Source organism: Homo sapiens, chromosome 22 (genome assembly GCF_000001405.40).
Source record: "Homo sapiens chromosome 22, GRCh38.p14 Primary Assembly".
Taxonomy (NCBI): domain Eukaryota; kingdom Metazoa; phylum Chordata; class Mammalia; order Primates; family Hominidae; genus Homo; species Homo sapiens.
The window spans coordinates 46,720,035-46,737,249 of record NC_000022.11 but is presented as its reverse complement, the minus strand read 5'-3'; the positions used below and the strand labels follow the sequence as shown (position 1 = coordinate 46,737,249).

At 51.6% G+C, this 17,215-nt stretch overlaps 1 protein-coding gene and 1 long non-coding RNA gene across 2 annotated transcripts in view, besides 3 other annotated features; both read left to right on the top strand.

Moving 5' to 3' along the window:
- Positions 1 to 17,215, top strand: part of CERK (ceramide kinase) — a 53,843-nt gene that overhangs the window by 1,003 nt on the left and 35,625 nt on the right. Inside the window, exons 2-3 of the mRNA NM_022766.6 lie at positions 16,235 to 16,348; positions 17,042 to 17,164. Of these exons, the coding sequence (NP_073603.2) occupies positions 16,235 to 16,348; positions 17,042 to 17,164 (237 nt within the window). The remainder of the gene's footprint in view (positions 1 to 16,234; positions 16,349 to 17,041; positions 17,165 to 17,215) is intronic.
- Positions 613 to 1,186: an enhancer, noted in NCBI's record as "H3K4me1 hESC enhancer chr22:47131961-47132534 (GRCh37/hg19 assembly coordinates)". NCBI's record gives its function as "activates a minimal SCP1, AML or CMV promoter by ChIP-STARR-seq in naive and primed H9 embryonic stem cells {active_cell/tissue: H9 hESC(naive and primed)}" and the evidence as "EXISTENCE:reporter gene assay evidence [ECO:0000049][PMID:30033119]".
- Positions 858 to 2,638, top strand: LOC105373077 (uncharacterized). Its single transcript, XR_001755593.2, has 2 exons — positions 858 to 947; positions 1,742 to 2,638. It is a non-coding gene; the product is annotated as an uncharacterized LOC105373077 (long non-coding RNA).
- Positions 10,843 to 11,343: an enhancer, noted in NCBI's record as "H3K4me1 hESC enhancer chr22:47121804-47122304 (GRCh37/hg19 assembly coordinates)". NCBI's record gives its function as "activates a minimal SCP1, AML or CMV promoter by ChIP-STARR-seq in primed H9 embryonic stem cells {active_cell/tissue: H9 hESC(primed)}" and the evidence as "EXISTENCE:reporter gene assay evidence [ECO:0000049][PMID:30033119]".
- Positions 13,894 to 14,411: an enhancer, noted in NCBI's record as "H3K4me1 hESC enhancer chr22:47118736-47119253 (GRCh37/hg19 assembly coordinates)". NCBI's record gives its function as "activates a minimal SCP1, AML or CMV promoter by ChIP-STARR-seq in naive H9 embryonic stem cells {active_cell/tissue: H9 hESC(naive)}" and the evidence as "EXISTENCE:reporter gene assay evidence [ECO:0000049][PMID:30033119]".

Genomic DNA, 17,215 nt, shown 5'->3' with positions numbered 1-17,215 from the left:
CACGATCTTGGCTCACTGCACCTCCGCCTCCTGGGTTCAAGCAATTCTCCCTGCCTCAGCCTCGGAGTAGCTGGGATTACAGGAGCCCGCTACTACGCCCGGCTAATTTTTGTATTTTAGTAGAGACAGGGTTTCACCATGTTGGCCAGGCTGGTCTTGAATTCCTGACCTCAGGTGATCTGCCCACCTCAGCCTCTCAAAGTGCTGGGATTACAGGTGTGAGCAACCGCACCCAGCCTTTTTTCTTTTTAATTATTGGGGTGGGTGTGGCAGAGGCCAGGATTCATGCTGGATGTGCGGAGCTGGAATGGGGTGGGTGTGGCGGAGGCCAAGATTCTCTGGTGGATATTCGGAGCCTGGGATGACACCTTTAGACCCTGTGGGCAGTCGAGGTCAGGAGTTCTTCTGGGCGCTTTCTGGTGCTGAGTGGTGAGGATCTGTGGGTTGGGTTCTGGTGGGGACAGAGTTGAACGTTAGGTGGGGCCAAGGTCGAGGGGTGGTCTCAGACCCATGACCAACACTTGGTTTCCAGCCCTGGGGTCACCTATCTGTGGCTGGGCATCTGAGACTTGACTTTCCTAAGGTATTTCTCATGTCCCCTTTGGTAGAAATGTCACACCCCAAATATCACCCACCAGGGCCCACACACAAGGAGAACAGGTGCCTGACCTGGGCCCGAAGGGTTTGTACTTTGTTGTAAATCCCTAGGCTTCAGGAAGATGACTGCCTCCCCCAAGCACTTCCTAAGTGCGGGCCACTGGGCTTCAAACCGGATGGGTTCCTGAGAGGCAGCTGCTCCCGTCCTAGGGATGCAGGGGCCGATCTGCAGGGGCTGGAAGTGACTGGCCCAATTAGCTGCTGTGCTTGTAGCCACTGGGCTGTAAGGCTTCCCTCAGGCTCCAGCCGCCGCAGAGACGCCAGACCCTTACAGGGCATCTGTGTGGGAGGTCAGTCATCACTGCTTTCTGCCTTGGCGTCCCCAGCCAGCTCCCATTATGGTTTCTGGTCCCCCAGGTCAGGGCTTGGTGTGGTGTGGCGTCTGCTTTTGTCCAGCCTGCTGGGGTTTGCCTCTTGGCATGCTAATTGCTTCACTCTTGCTAAGCCAAGGTGCTTTTGTGCGGGTTCATCCTGAGCTGCCTGACTGGCCTGCCAGGAGCTTGGTCCCTCTTGGAGAGGGAGGGCCCTGGTTTGTGGGGCCATGGATGGTGGGGCCCTGGCTGGTGGCCCTGGCTGGTGGGCTTCCTCCAGGAAGCAGCCTGCCCTCTCCACCCAGGAGTGCTCTCCCATGCAATGGGAAAACATCAACAAGTTGGGAAACGCTAAGTTGTGAATGAGTTCAGGAATACAGCCACACTGTCTCTAGTTTTTTTCTCATAGCTTTACAGTCCCCAAAAGGAATCAGGCCCAGGTTCGATTCTTCTATGCTTGAGGTCAGTAGGGCCATAGTAGGGCAGAAGAATGTGAACCAGCTCACAGGACATTTAATTTGGTCAGCAAGGTGGCATTGCCCAGCCCTCCCCATTCCCCCAGGTGTATCTGGGCACACTGGGATTGATTAGGTTGAGGAATGATGAGAGGTGGAGAATTGTGCAAAAACTGGCCCTAGGAGGACCTGTGAGATGAGGCAGGAGCAGCCCTGGAGCTCCAGGTGACCAATGGGCTAAAGACAAAGCCAAGGCCACTGTGTGTGCCCTGCTGGGGTGGCCGCTTAGTTATTCCGACTCCTTTGTTTTCTCCGTAGCATCACCCCTATTTCAGATGTGGACAGTAGGAGTGGGAATTGACTGGGCCCAGAGGCAGTGATGTACAGAGGGAGCTGGCTTTGAACCCAGGCACGTGCACTTTCGTCAGTGGGTCATCATGCTGGGACAGTGACTGACTGTACAAGAGCACAGACAAGGACTAGCAATTTGGATCGCTGCAGCTTCCTGGGCCTGGGTGAGGTCTGCACCTGAGGAAGCCGCGACAGCAAGTGCCCTGGGCCGCCAGCCTGGTGGGAAGTAGGGCAGGACGAAAACAGGAACTTGAAGTGGGTCATGCTCGTTGAACTGGAAACACTGAGTTGATATCTGGGTTATTTCCCCTGACTGTCGCAAAACACACTTAGACAAACCCTGCATTTATTCCTTTAGAGTTGGGAATGGGAAGAGTGTGTGTGTGTGTGTGTGTGTGTTGGGGGGTGAGGGGACTACTGCCCAGGCTCTACCTTTGTGGGAGGATCCTCCCCTTCCTTCCACCAACCCCACTTGGGATGTCCCAGGCTGGTGGTGAACTCGTTGGGCAGGTCAGTACTGTGTTTATAAAGCGTGTCCTCAGCACACCCTGCAAAGTGCCTGGCAAAACATAGGCATGCCACAGATACTTTAAAAAAATGTTTTTCCTGCTTACAAAAGTAAGTCATGTTGATTTAATAATATCGAGAAAACACAGAAAAGCATACACAAAAAGTCACTCTTCGACTTAGACGTGATTAATATTTGGTATTTGTGTATATGTAAATATGCATGAAAGAAAAGCTGAGAAAACATACTGCAGAGTGTTTTCCACGCTACTAATTCCTCTCCTAAGACATGATTTTTAAAAATCGATTTTATCAAGGTCTAAATTGCATGCAATAAAACTCAGACATTTTAAGGCACATAGTTGGTTAAATTTTGATAATTGTGTGCACCTGTGTAAACATCACCCGGATCGCAGCAGCCCAGCACCTTCTCCTGGGCCCTGGGCTGTTTTCTCACCAGGGACAGGCACGATGCTAATAGAGTTTCATGTAAATGGAATCATGCCATGTGCACGTCTTTGTGCCCGGCTGCTTTATCTCATGTAAATGGAATCATGCCATGTGCACGTCTTTGTGCCCGGCTGCTTTATCTCATGTAAATGGAATCATGCCATGTGCACGTCTTTGTGCCCGGCTGCTTTATCTCATTTTGTTTTTTTTAAGATTCATCATGTCAGCAGTTCCTTCTTTCTGGTTACTAAGTCATATTGCATTGTGTGGGTGCACTAGTGTATCCGTTCACCTGCTGATGGGCTTCTGGACAGTTTGCAGTCCATTCACCTTGACTATGTGGATAAAGACACCCTGACCCTTTAGGGGCTATGCTTTTGCTCCTCTTGGGTGCATATTTAAGAGTAGAAAGCTGGATTATAGGAAAATGTATATATATATATATATATATGTATGTATGTATATATAACATATTTTATTATATTTTTGGAGTCTTCCTCTGTTTCCCAGGCTGGAGTGAAGTGGCAAGGTCTCGGCTCACTGCAACCTCCACCTCCCGGGTTCAAGTGATTCTCCTGCCTTAGCCTCCTGAGTAGCTGGGATTATGGGCACCTGCCACCAGCTAATTTTTGTATTTTTAGTAGAGACAGGGTTTCACCATGTTGGCCAGGCTAGTCTCGAACTCCTGACCTCAGATGATCTGCCTGCCTCGGCCTCCCAAAGTGTTGGGATTACAGGCGTTAGCCACTGCACCTGGCTGTAAATTCTTACAAGAAAATAGAGGACAGTTTATAATATTGGAATGGGAAAAGGCTCTCCTAACCAAGATGGAATCCAGAAAGAATAAAGAAAAAGCTAGATTATTTGACGAAATAATTTTAAAATTTCTTTTGTAAGATATCATAAATTTAAAAAAAAAGATAAGGGCCGGGCGTGGTGGCTCACACCTGTAATCCCAGCACTTTGGGAGGCCGAGGCGGGTGGATCACTTGATGTCAGGAGGTCGTGACCAGCCTGCCCAACATGGTGAAACCCTGTCTCTACTAAAAATACAAAAATTAGCCAGGCATGTTGGCGTGCGCCTATAATCCCAGCCTCTCAGGAGGCTGAGGCACGAGAATCTCTTGAACCTGGGAGGCGGAGGTTGCAGTGAGCTGTGATTGCACCACTGCACTCCAGCCTGGGCAACACGGCGAGACTCCATCTCAAATAATAATAATAATAATAAAATAAAAATAAAAAATGATGGGGGTGATATTTGCAACAAATAGGATAGAGAAAGGGTTAATTTTTTTTTTTTTTTTTTTTTTGAGACAGAGTCCCACTCTGTCGCCCAGGGCTGGAGTGCAGTGGCGTGATCTCAGCTCACTGCAAGCTCCGCCTCCCGGGTTCACACCATTCACCTGCCTCAGCCTCCCGAGTAGCTGGGACTACAGGCACCCACCATTGCACCCGGCTAATTTTTTGTATTTTTAGAAGAGATGGGGTTTCACTGTGTTAGCCAGGATGGTCTCAATCTCCTGACCTCGTGATCCTCCCTCTTTGGCCTCCTTAAGTGCTGGGATTACAGGCGTGAGCCACCGCGCCTGGCCAGGTTAACATTTTTTGAACATTTTAAACTTACATAAAAATTGATAGGAAAAAAGGCAGACAATCCATTAGACAAATGGCAATGGATATAAGTAGGCGATTCACGGAAGAAAACATTCGGAAGTGGATGCTGAGCGTCTGAGTAGATACTGACCCAAGGCAATGATGAGATGCTGCTCTCAACCAGCAAGGGATGGGGAAGGGCGAAAGCACAGCTCTGTGCTGGGGAAGTTTCAGGACGCTTCTGGGCTGGCAGACCCGGTGAATGGGAAGTGGGAACTGCTAGGGTGTTTTTGGAAAGTAATCTGGCAGTGTTTTCAAACTGTAAAAAAAAAAAAAAAAAGTGATATCCTTTGACCCAACAATTCCATTTTTGATTATCTATCCCAGAGAAATTAAACCACCAGTATTTAAGAAACTTTCATACTCGAGAAGATACACTTTCTGTGTGTTTAAGAAACTCCTAATGTGTTTTACTTCCCGTCCCCCCCACCCAATTTATTTTTCTTCTCTAACAGTCTAGATTTTTGCATAACAGCGTTTTCTATGAGAAATGCAGCTGAGTCCTGCCTTTTGAGGGTTATCTCAGGAACCTGTAGCTGGTCCAGGATGCATCTCAACTTAATGGCTTCAGCGATTAGCCCAGCGTGGACTTCCAGGCACGAGTTCTCCTCTGTCCTGGAGACAGCCAGCCTGTCACCCGCATACAAGCTCCAGCTACTCGGCCTCTCTCCTAGGCCAGTGGCCCACCCTCACCGCCTGCTGGGTTCTCGATTCGGCTGTCCGGATCCCACACGTCTGCTGGGTTCTCGATTCGGCTGTCCGGATCCCATACCTCTTCTCTCCTTTCTCGCTGACCTTGGTCCCCTTTTTGCCACAGACTGGGTCAGATGACTTCTGCCTCCAGCTGGCCCCGGTCTTCCCCTCCCGACCCCTCCTGCTGCCTTTTGAATTTCTTTAGGGAGCACCCCGGCGGCTGAACCCTGGATGATGGGGATTGGAAGTTTAGAGAGCACCCTGAGGGTCACTAATCCCTTCTCCAGTGCCGTTGGCCCGTCCTGACAGCCAGCCTGTGTGCCCCATTGATGTTTAGACACCCTGCCCTGCTACAAAGTTCTTCCAGGCACTGCTCGCCCATGCGTGCCTGTGGCCTGGCTTGCATTCCTGACCTCCCCCGATCTGGCCCTGCCCCCACCTGCTCCCGGGGCACACGTGCTCACCAGCCCAGCCGTCATTATCTCCCGCATGCCCTGTGCCTCCCCAGGTGCCCTCTGCCCTCCCTGCCTGACATGTTTTCCTCTATCCTCAGCCTCACCAAGGCCCAGCCCTCCTTCCCAGACTCACCTAGCACTGGTTATTTTGCAGTATGTTCCAAGACTGGGCAGCGTTTACACCTTCTGTTTAGCTGGTTTCTCTGGCACTGCTCCAGCAGGGAACGGCGCTGGTACTGCCAGGTGGGGGTGGAAGCCCAGGTTCCCCTCAGCCTTGTTGGCAGCGGAGTCAGGGGCTGCTTGTCATTGCCGGGTGGGTGGGGGGTACAGCTCCCGCCAGGCCTCTGCTAAGGCCACCTTGGCGGGGGGTGGAGGTGCTTCCTTGCCGCTCCCCACATGCACTCCCCTAACAGCACGTGGGTGGAGTGTGGGCACCTTGCAGCTCAGTGGCAGTGAAAGCCCTGTCTCCCCACCAGGCCTCCTCTTACTCCACTCCAGCAAGGAGGAAGGGGCACCTCGCCAGTGCAGGGTGGGGGCCCGGGCTGGGCTGCCCCTTTGTCTCCACCAATGCCTAGTGGGCATGAGGCTTTTTACCAGCTGGCGCTGATGGGGGTTCCAGCTTCCTGCGTGGCCTCCCCTGTACAGCCCTGGCAGAGGTTGTGGGGTGCCTGCTCACAGCCTCTCAAGGGTGGAAGTCTAAGCTGCTAGTTGGCCACTTGGGCTTGGTTGGAGGGCTGGGCCCGTTTTTTTCTGGGGTAGGTTGTTATTGTCTCAAAGTTTTCTGTCTTGCAAAGCTGCCCCTTCCCTGGCTAGACTGAGTTGGCTTTCACTGGGGCTCTGCGTTTGTACCTGTTGGCATTTCCAGGTTTCAGGCTGCTCCAGTTCCAAATCCAAGATAGACGAGGCAAAGGAAACCCCCAGGGGGATGCCGTGTGTCTTTCTCAGATCCCAGGCCCTGAACAGCTGCCTTTTCTCTGCCTGTCAGAGTCTTCTTATATTTGTTTCATGTGTGACGTCCAGGGCTTCACTTAATAGGAGGAGTAGGAAAAGCACAGCTAATCCATCCTCCCAGAAGCAGAAGGTGCTTGTGCATTAAAACAATTTCTTTCTCTCTGCTCTTTAGAATAGATTCTTTCTGCTGACCTATTTTCAACTTCACTATTCCTCTATCTAATTCATTCTGCTGCTAAGCCTATCTGGTGATTTTTAAATTTCAGATACTGTACTTTCCAGTTTTAAATTTTTCCTTTTGGTTCCAATAGTTTCCATTTCTTTCCTGAAAACTTCTTTTTTTTTTGAGATAGACTGTCACTCTGTTACCCAGACTGGAGTGTAATGGTGTGATCTCGACTCACTGCAAACTCCACCTCCTGGGTTCAAGCAGTTCTCGTGCCTCAGCCTTCTGAGTAGCTGGGATTACAGGTGCCTGCCACCATGCCTGGCTATTTTTTTTTTTTTTTTTAGTAGAGACAGGGATTTGCCATGTTACCCAGGCTGGTCTTGAACTCCTGAGCTCAGGCAATCTGCCCGCCTTGGCCTCCCAAAGTGCTAGGATTACAGGCGTGAGCCACCACTCCCAGCCTCTTTCCTGAAAACTTCAAGTATGTTCAACTGTGTCTCAGTGAGCATGGTTATAACAGCTGCTTTGTTTTTTGTTTGTTTGTTTGTTTGTTTGTTTTGAGATGGAGTCTCGATCTGTCACCCAGGCTGGAGTGCAGTGGTGCGATCTTGGCTCACTGCAAGCTCCGCCTCCCAGGTTCACGCCATTCTCCTGCCTCAGCCTCCTGAGTAGCTGGGACTACAGGCGCCTGCCACCACGCCTGGCTAATTTTTTGTATTTTTAGTAGGGACAGGGTTTCACCGTGTTAGCCAGGATGGTCTCGATCTCCTGCCCTCGTGATTCACCTGCCTCGGCCTCCCAAAATGCTGGGATTACAGGCATGAGCCACCGCGCCTGGCCAAAGACTACTTTGAAGTCTTTGTCTGATAACATCAACATCTGGGTCATCTCAGGTTTGACGTCTTTTGATTATTCCCTTGAGAACGTTAACATTTCCTGGTTCTTGGTGTGCTGATTTATTGTGGGTTGTTTCCTGGATATTTGGTACATTATTTTGTAAGGCCAAGTCCTGTTAATGTTTTTTGGAGGCTGGGTGTTGTGCATGCCTGTAGTCCCAGCTACTCAGGAGGCTGGGGCAGGAGGAGCATTTGACACCAGGAATTCGAGGTTACGGTGTTCCATGATTGTACCACTGTACTCCATCCTGAGTGACAGAGCAAGACCCTGTCTCTTAAAAAAAATTAATAAAAAATAAAGTCATTTGGACAATTTTTCTATTTAATTAAATTAATTAATTTATTTATTTACAGTCTCACTGTTTCCCAGGCTGGAGTGCAGTGGCTCAGTTTTGGCTCACTGCAGCCTCTTGAGCACAAGCCGTCCTCCTACCTCAGCCTCTCAAGTAGCTGGAACTACAGGCATGTACCATCATTCTCCCTAATTTTTAAAATTTATTTTGTAGAGACAGGGCCTCACTATGTTGTCCAGGTTGGTCTCAATCTTCTGGCCTCAAGCAGTCCTCCCGCTTCAGCCTCCCAAAGTGCTGGAATTACAGGCATGAGACACCAGACCCAGCCAATTTTTCTTTTTCAAAAGCAGGTGCTCAGCCTGGCTGGGTACAGATGGCAGGTCTGTCTCATGTGGCGAGGGAGGTGGGCCCTGGCTGTCCAGCCTCCGAGGCCCTGGCTGCCCTGTTTTGGCCCCTCAGGAGTGAGGCTGGACTCATCTGGTCATTCTCAGAGCCAAGTATTCCTGCTCCAGCCCCCTCTCCTCTGAGCACCCCTCTGCCCTCAGCACACCCTGGCTTCTCTGGGACAGGGGCCTGCACCCACCCTGCTGCCCCATAGCTCAGACGTCCCCGAGGCCAGAGCTGGAGATAAACCCAGCTCCCAGCTGCTGACTCTGCACGCTGGCCTCTCCAGCCAGCGGGCCTGCTGCTGTGGATCTCTGGTGTCCCCGGTTCACTGCCTGTTTCTTGTATCTTGTCCAGAGCTATCAGTCATAGCGGGTGGGAGAGACAGGCGGTCGGGCTTGGTTCATTCTGGCCAGAACTAGATGTCTGAATGCTGCTTTCCATTTAGGCCAGCGTGTACTGTGCCCTGCAGTGCTGCGGGCTTCACACCCAATGGGATCCTCATAGCCCTCTGAGACGCCCCTTGTTATCTTCTCAGAGGTGGAGATGTGGGACTTAGAGCTGAGCTCACAGGTTGGGGAGTGGGGACTCAGAGCGAGGCTGCTCCAGAATCTGGGGTGAGCTCCCTCTTCAAAGGCAGGGACTCTGGGATTTGTTTAAGTAGCCCCCGTGGCCTTTCATAGCAGGGTGCACGGGGGGAAGAGCGGGGTTCCTGGAGCAAAATCAGTCCAGTTCCCATGACAAAGTTCCCTGAGGCACCGTACGGTCCCTGGAGCCCTTGGACACCCCGTCTCATCCCTAGGACGGGAGGCTGATGCAGGTTTCCCGCGACCTGACAGCATGGAGTGGGGACGGCGGGTGTTCTGTGTTGAGATGCCAGCTGGTATGGACTTCAGTTCTGCGGGTGTCGTCTAAGCAGGTCTAGGATTAGTCTGATTCATTTCCTGAACCCACACACAGGGGCTGCGCAGGTGTGTAATTCCACCCTGCCCTCCAGAACCTCCTGGCTTAACAGGAAAAGCAAAGTCCTGTGTGTTGGCTGCCACGTGGGCTGTGCAGGTGACATGCCCGTCCACATGCCACAGCCCTGTTTCCTGAGAGGAATGATTTGGCATCCTCAGGTCCAGGCCTCCTGTGCATGCTAAGGGAGCATCCATGCTAAGGAGCCGCGGGGGTGGCAGGGCCGGGGGGGGTGGCTGGGCCAGGGGAGTGTTGGGGCGGCATGTGCAGGATGTTCAGAAGCCCATGGACCTTGGGTGGTCACCGGGTGGTCCTGTGGGATGCTGACCAGGCCCCTGCCTGAGAGTGGGGCACGCGGACCACAGCACCCTTAGGCTGGTATCGGGACGTTAGGACGAGGAAGGATTTCTGGGGTGGGTTCCACAGGGAATGGACACTGTTTACTTGAGATGTGTCCCTAGAACTAAGAAGACTGGGCACAGTGGCTCACGCCTGTAATCCCAACACTTTGGGAGGCTGAGTGGATGGATCGCTTGAGCCCAGGAGTTAGAGAGACCAACCAGGTCTCTGAGGGCAACACAGAGAGACCCCATCTCTCAAAAAAAAAAAAAAAAAGAAACAGCTGGGCATGGTGGCACACACCTGTGGTCCCAACTACTTGGGAAGCTGAGGTGGGAGGATTGCATGAGCCTGGGAGGTCGAGGCTGCAGTGAGCTGAGATTGCACCCCTGTACTCCAGCCTGGGTGACACAGTGAGACCTGTCTCAAAAAAAAAAAGAAGAGGAGACATTGGTGGCTACTAATGGTGTGCTGACAAGGGTCAAAGGTCACATTTTATGGCATGAAATAGCAGTAAGTTATGATTGGCAGGTACCTTATCCCAGCATCATGAACTCTGGGGGCTTGCTGTGAGATTTTCTTCATCATCCGTGCGGTCAGAAAAACCACGGCTCAGCCTCACTGGGTTGCAGAGCAGAGGTCTTTGGGCTAAATTTGGCCACAGATTTTTTTCTTTGTTAGATTTGCATGGTGAGTTTTTCTCTTCCTTTTAAAATTGTAGCTAATGTTTTACAATCAGAAGGTTTCCCATAAAAGACGAAACTTGGGCGCATCCCTGTATGACAGCAGCAGCCGCAGCGGAGGCAAGGGCTGGGGACACGCAGTCGCGTCTGGATAAGTCGCAGCTCAGGGCTGACCTGTGGGCGTCACGTGGGTTCTGGCTTCCCCCACCTTCCATCTGTGTATCAGACCCATCAAGGGCTGTGTCAGGGTGGACGTGGTGGGCGGGGAGGGGCGGGGGACAGTTTGACCATCTCTGAGTTTCCTGCACGTGAGATTTCTGGACTCTCCCTGGCAGTGGTGGGCAGGGCTGGTTTTTGGTCTTCCTTGGCATAGGCAAGCACTCACCTTTAATTTTTAATGAAGATCAGATGTTCACACAGCTCATGTTTACTGAGCGGCGGGTTGCCAGGGAAATGCGTTTGCATTGCATGTCATTGCAGGGGGAATCAGGCCTCCCAGCCACTCGGATCTCTTGGGTGTTCTTCCTCTGGGGTGACCCTTACTGCTTGGACTCTAAGCGGGCCGGGCATGTGGAGGTCAGTGTGGCCCGTGCCACTTCTGGGCCTCAGCATCCCCTGCAGTGTGTGTGGGTGTGATCCACAGACTTCCACACTGTACTTGGCACTGCTCCAGTGGGCGCAGTGGGCAGCGGCCTGCTCTCTCACCCTGTTCCCTCTGCCGGTCCTCACGTGGCAGCTTGCATTAGGGAGAGTCCCAGGGACCGCTGTGCTCCCCTGTGCTCTTAGCTGGGAACTCGCTCTTGTTCTCGTTGCATATGCCCAAGAGGCGAAAGACATCTGGGGCCTCCCGACGGCTGCGTGAGGTCTGGAGCGGCATGTTCTGCCACCTTGACCCTGCCCTGCCATGAGCGTGCCCACACACGTGCACCCATGTCACTGGCAGACACTCAGTGCCCCGTGACACACGGGAAACCCGTGGGCCCTCCTGCTGGATGGGAGGCCACTGCGCGTGGCTCAGTTTAATCCGGGAACTTCTAGTATCAAAGCTGATTGACAGCAGGCACTGTTTTCATCTGTAAGTCACAAGCATGAAATAAATTTAATTCTAGTGGATCACAACAAGCACTAAAAAGCACAGAGAACAGAATGGAAAAAGAAGCAGCTGGAAGTCAGCGTGCTCTCAGCTGCCCCTAGCAGGCATTACCCAGACTGTGGCAAATGCTGCAGTGGTCTGCAGAGAGGGAGTCAGCAAACGCGTGAGCCGCACGAGAACCAGGAGGCCAGCCTCACTCGCTGACATGGCATTTGATTTTTCTGGAATGTGATGGCCATTTGATCATTACCTCTATTGAAGAGCTCACTGCATGTCAATACGAGTCACTGTGGTGTCTCACGAGAATTCTGTCACGAGAATTTATCTCTGTCAGCAAAAGAATATGAAAGTGCCCCCAATTCCCACCTTCCGCCCTTTGCAAGATGTTCCCACAGCATCTGTCCACCTGGGTCAGGTGTGTTTTCTCCCGCGGATGCTGTGGCATGTCCACACACCACGTGCTGTGCGGGGATGCTGCTTGGTGCCGGCAATTTGAGACTAACCCTCAGAGGGCAGTTCCTTCTGCTTCTAGAGGACCGTCCGCATTCTTCTGTGTGCCAGCCCTCGGTGGTCCCACTGCCGTCCACATGACCTGCCCTCAGATGAGCAGGCGCCAGCTCTCCAACCGGTGGACGCTGGCAAGTGTTTCCTGAGCCCCCGCAGGGAGCTGCTCTCCGTTTGCTCAGATTCTTGGCCCGGTTCTTTATCTCCTAATTAGAAATGAGAGTATCGAAGACTAGGGCGTAATGCCGATGACACACCGAGGTGAGGAGAGCAGGAGAAGGGGTAAGTGCTGCTAGGCTGGAGGCGTCTCACTGTGGAGTTCTCTCACTGTGGAGTCCTCAGCTTAACACAGGGACAATGGCCTGAAGGAGGAAGGAGGCAGAGCCTCCATCTTGAGCCCAGCCTTCTTTTTCTTTTTTTTTTGAGATGGAGTTTTGCTGTCTTTCGCCCAGGCTGGAGTGCAGTGGCGCAATCTTGGCTCACTGCAAGCCCCGCCTCCCTGGTTCATGCCATTCTCCTGCCTCAGCCTCCTGAGTAGCTGGGGCTACAGGTGCCCGCCACCACACCCGGCTAATTTTTTGTGTATTTTTAGTAGAGTCGGGGTTTCACCATGTTAGCCAGGGTGGTCTCGATCTCCTGACCTCGTGATCCGCCCACCTTAGCCTCCCAAAGTGCAGGGATTACAGGTGTGAGCCACCCCGCCCTGCTGAGCCCAGCCTTTTTGGCAAGAAAGGAAGCCATCATTTATCGGACATTTTTGTGCTTGAAACTTTTTCACCCTTTATCTTATTCCAGTTTCTAATCCCCTATGGGGTTCATCGCTCCACCCCCTTTACACCATGCTCCAGGCTTAGCGGCTTACCCACAGTAAGACTGCAGCCAGATACAGGCCAAAGCCACGCCAAGTCCAGCCACTCATTGCCACCTGGGGAATGTGTTCCCACCATGGCCGCACCACTCCAGGTCTCCTGAGTCAGCAAGGAAGCCCTTGTCCTGAGCCGCACCCAGTGCAGATTGACCCTCAAACAACATGGGGGTTAGCGCCCCAGCCCCACACAGTTGAAAACTTTTGACTCCCCCAGCACTTAACTACTAACAGCCTACTGTTGACTGGACGCCTTGCGATAATGTAAATAGCCGATGAACACATATTTCCTATGTGGCCTGATTTATATGCTGTATTATTACAATAAAATAAGCTAGAGAAAAGAAAACGTGGTTAAGAAAACCATAAGGAAGAGAAAATGTGTTTACTATCTGGTAAGTGGAAGTGGATCATTACAAAGGTCTCCATCCTCATGGTCTTCATGTTGAGTGGGCTGAGGAGGAAGAGGAGAGGAGGGATCAGTCGTGCTGTCTTAGCGGTGGTGGAGGTGGAGAAGACGGAGGAGGTGGAAGGGGAGGCAAGAGAGGCAAGTGAGCTTAGTGTCACTTTTATTGAAAAATCTGGCCAGGCGCGGTGGCTCATGCCTGTAATCCCAGTACTGTGGGAGGCCGAGGCGGGCAGATCACCTGAGGTCAGGAGTTCAAGACCATCCTGGCCAACATGGTGAAATCCCGTCTCTACTAAAAGTACAAAAGTTAGCCGGGTGCGGTGGCAGGCGCCTATAATCCCAGCTACTCAGGAGGCTGAGGCAGGAGAATCACTTGAACCTGGGAAGCGGAGGTTGCAGCGAGCCAAGATCACACCACACCTGGGTGACGAGCAAGACTCCATTTCAAAAACAAAAAAAAAAGAAGAAAACCCCACATTAGTGGACCCTTGAAGGTTAAGCCCATGTTGTTCAGAGGTCAGCTATATTCTTCTTCTTCTTTTTTTGTTTTCCTGAGACTGAGTCTCACTTTGTTGCCCAGGCTGGAGTGCACTGGTGTGATCTCGGCTCACGGCAACCTCCGCCTCCCGGGTTCAAGCAACTCTCATGCTTCAATCTCCTGAGTAGCTGGGATTACAGGCACACACCACCACACCTGGCTAACTTTTGTATTTTTAGTAGAGACGGGGTTTCACCATGTTGGCCAGGCTGGTCTCGAACTCCTGACCCGAAGTGCTCTGCCTGCCTCGGCCTCCCAAAGTGCTGGGATTACAGGCGTGAGCCACTGTGTCCGCCCTGTGTTCTTATTCTTGACGTTCCTCAATAAAGCTGTGCAGACAATATTGAATTTTGTTCCTCTATTAACTTTTCTGTCCCTTTTTAGAGACAATAATTCCATTTATTAATCTGTGTGTAAAAGGAACGTGTGTAAACTAATGACCCTGCTGGCATCTTTGTCTTTTTCTCTTGCCAGAGGAGCAGGTACACCTTGCTGCAGGTCCAGTGTGGCAGAAGGTGCCTGGATTCACCCCAGGGCGTCCTTGGTCCTGTTCAGTCTCTTGCCCTGTCCCGAACACTTGTAGCTATTCAGAGTCATACCCAAGTGGGATCCTTATCCCTCCACCCAGAGTGGCCACCCTCTCGCAGCCGCTCGCCCTTTCCTTCCCAGCGGCCTCTGCCTCTCCCCAGCTCCTGCCCCTACGTCGCCTTCCTCCACCCACGGGGAATCCTCTGAACCCTGACCCTGACAGTGAGGCTGTCCCCACCACCTCCCTGCCCCAGCACCTGTGTCGCTCCTTCTGGCAGGACGCACGTGGACTGCCTGGTCTTGTGCTGGCACCCCTGGCACGGCACGGCCTGCAGCCTGGCTAACATGGCAAAACCCTGTCTCTACTAAAAATACAAAAATCAGCTGGACCTGGTGGTGGGAACCTGTAATCTCAGCTACTTGGGAGGCTGAGGAGGGAGAATCGCTTGAACCGGGAGGTGGAGGTTGCGGTGAGCCGAGATGGAGCTATTGCCCTCCAGTCTGGGCAGCAGGAGCAAAACTGCATCTCAAAAAAAAAAAAAAAAAAAAGATGGGAGGCCCAGGTGGGGCACACCGGAGGGTGGGGACCCTGAGAGTCACTCTGGACCCCACATCCTATACCCAGGAGGAGGATGCACACAGACACCTCCTGAGACCTCTGCTCTCCAGCCAGACTTCATCCTCTGTAACCCACCCCCTCCCCATCAAGTCTGCTCCCCTGGGGCTGGCTTCACTTCAGAGGGAATCAGGAGGCCCCACTACTGGCCTTTCAAAGGTTTCTACAGTGCTCAAAGGCCCAGTTCAGACACTACCCTCCCAGGTTCCTAGAACTTGATTTCCATGGGCCACAACTTTAAAAATGATGCAAAATTACCACAAATGTTATAGCAATTTTTTTTGCATTTAGCTACGGCAAAAATACGGTATTTTAGCTATATTGCAGGTTTTATAGCCAACCTAGGAAGCTAACCACAAATTATAACATTCTTCTGTGTAAGGATATATCATACATGCCTAACAGTAATTCCAGAATAAGCTTTTGGAAGCCACCTTCCTCAAACTTGGCTTTGCTGTCTTCAATCCCATGCTCTCCTGGGCAAGTTCTTTCAGGCCTTGGACTTCAGTTACCCGTCACCTCCCACAGCTCTGCTGCCAGCCCAGAACTTTCTTTGATGTGCAAGCCTGTAATTACAGCTGCCCAGCAGATGAACACGCCCCAGGTGGCTCGGGTGGAATGGGTCCTTGCTGGTTCCCAGGGTGGAGCATGTCCGGTGCTGTCATCCCCTGGGCCCCTGGAAGTCTCCCCTGTCTCCTCCCCCTGCACTCCAGTTCGCGCCACACTTGGGCTCTGCCTCACTTGCAAGCTCCGTGGTTCCAGCTGTCCCGGGTCCTGTCACGTGTCTCCCTCCCACTTGGATTTCTGAACCAGGCACTGTCCTGCAGACAGAGGCCATGTCTCGAGCATGTTTCCCCAAATTTCACATGGTAGCTGGCCCGGAATGGTCCGCATTTGCTGCTTGAATGGGTGAGCAAATCGTGTGAAAAATCACAGCCTCCATTTGGTGACTCGGCTGAATAAAACATCCCGCCGTCTGGTAACATTGAGCTGCCCACAGTTATTTATTTGTGAGTTTAAAAGTGACCTATAACCTTCCTTTTTGGGGGAGGGGGTATTAAAAAAGCTGTTCGGGAGGCTGAGGCAGGAGAATGGCGCGAACCCGGGAGGCAGAGCTTGCAGTGAGCCGAGATCGAACCACTGCACTCCAGCCTGGGCGACAGCGTGAGACTCTGTCTCAAAAAAATATATATATATATGTATATCTTTTTTCTTTTTGGAGATGGGGTCTTGTGCTGTTGCCAGGGCTGGAGTGCAGTGTCACCATCATAGCCCACTGCAACTCCTGAGCTCAAGCGATCCTCCCTCCTCAGCCTCCCAAAGTGCTGGGATTACAGGTGCACACCACCACACCCAGCCTGAATTTCTAATGAGAATATTAAAGCAGAATATTCTCAGCTTCTTGGAGTTGGACTGATTTTACCTGTGTGGATTCTGACGAATTCTTTGACAGAAGGACGTGGTGTTTTTACAGATGCCTGCTCTGTGCCTGTATCTGAGATCATCGCCGTTGAGGAAACAGACGTTCACGGGAAACATCAAGGCAGTGGAAAATGGCAGAAAATGGAAAAGCCTTACGCTTTTACAGGTGATAAGCCTAAATGTCTTCTCCCACATTCTTCATTAATTCTATGTAGATTACACGAGAGGGAACTTTTCTGTTACTTGTTTAACAAGCTCAATGCATTGGTTTATCTTTATGAAATCTTCCTATTTTTTTCCCCAAATGCTACCTTTAGTTAATGTTTTAGTTAATGGTCATTTTTCCCCTTATTTTTATTTATTTATTTTTTTGAGACAGAGTTTTGCTCTTGTTGCCCAAGCTGAAGTGCAGTGGCGCGGTCTCGGCTAGTTCAACCTCTGCTTCCTGGGTTCAAGCAATTCTCCTGCCTCAGCCTCCTGAGTAGCTGGGATTATAGGTGCCCGCCACCACACCCGGCTACTTTTTTGTATTTTAAGTAAAGACGGGGTTTCACCATGTTGGCCAGGCTGGTCTTGAACTCCTGACCTCAGGTGATCTGCCCGCCTCAGCCTCCCAAAGTGCTGGATTACAGGCGTGAGTCATCACAGCCAGCCCTTTTCCCTTATATGACTTAAAAGGTTTGAAAGATCGGATGTTTTTTTCTAATATACCTTGAAAGTTACTAATTAGAAGGGAGGAGAACCCCTGGGAAATTTTGGTTAGGAACCTATAATTAGCTGCATTTGGTGCATATTCACTTGAGGTTTTGTCAGTGACCCTGCAAACTTTGCACTAACGAGCATGCTTGCTTCTGTGCAGTTCACTGTGTAAAGAGAGCACGACGGCACCGCTGGAAGTGGGCGCAGGTGACTTTCTGGTGTCCAGAGGAGCAGCTGTGTCACTTGTGGCTGCAGACCCTGCGGGAGATGCTGGAGAAGCTGAGTACGTGTGTGTTTGGACTGAGAGACAGGATGGCCGTGGTGGCATGCGCAT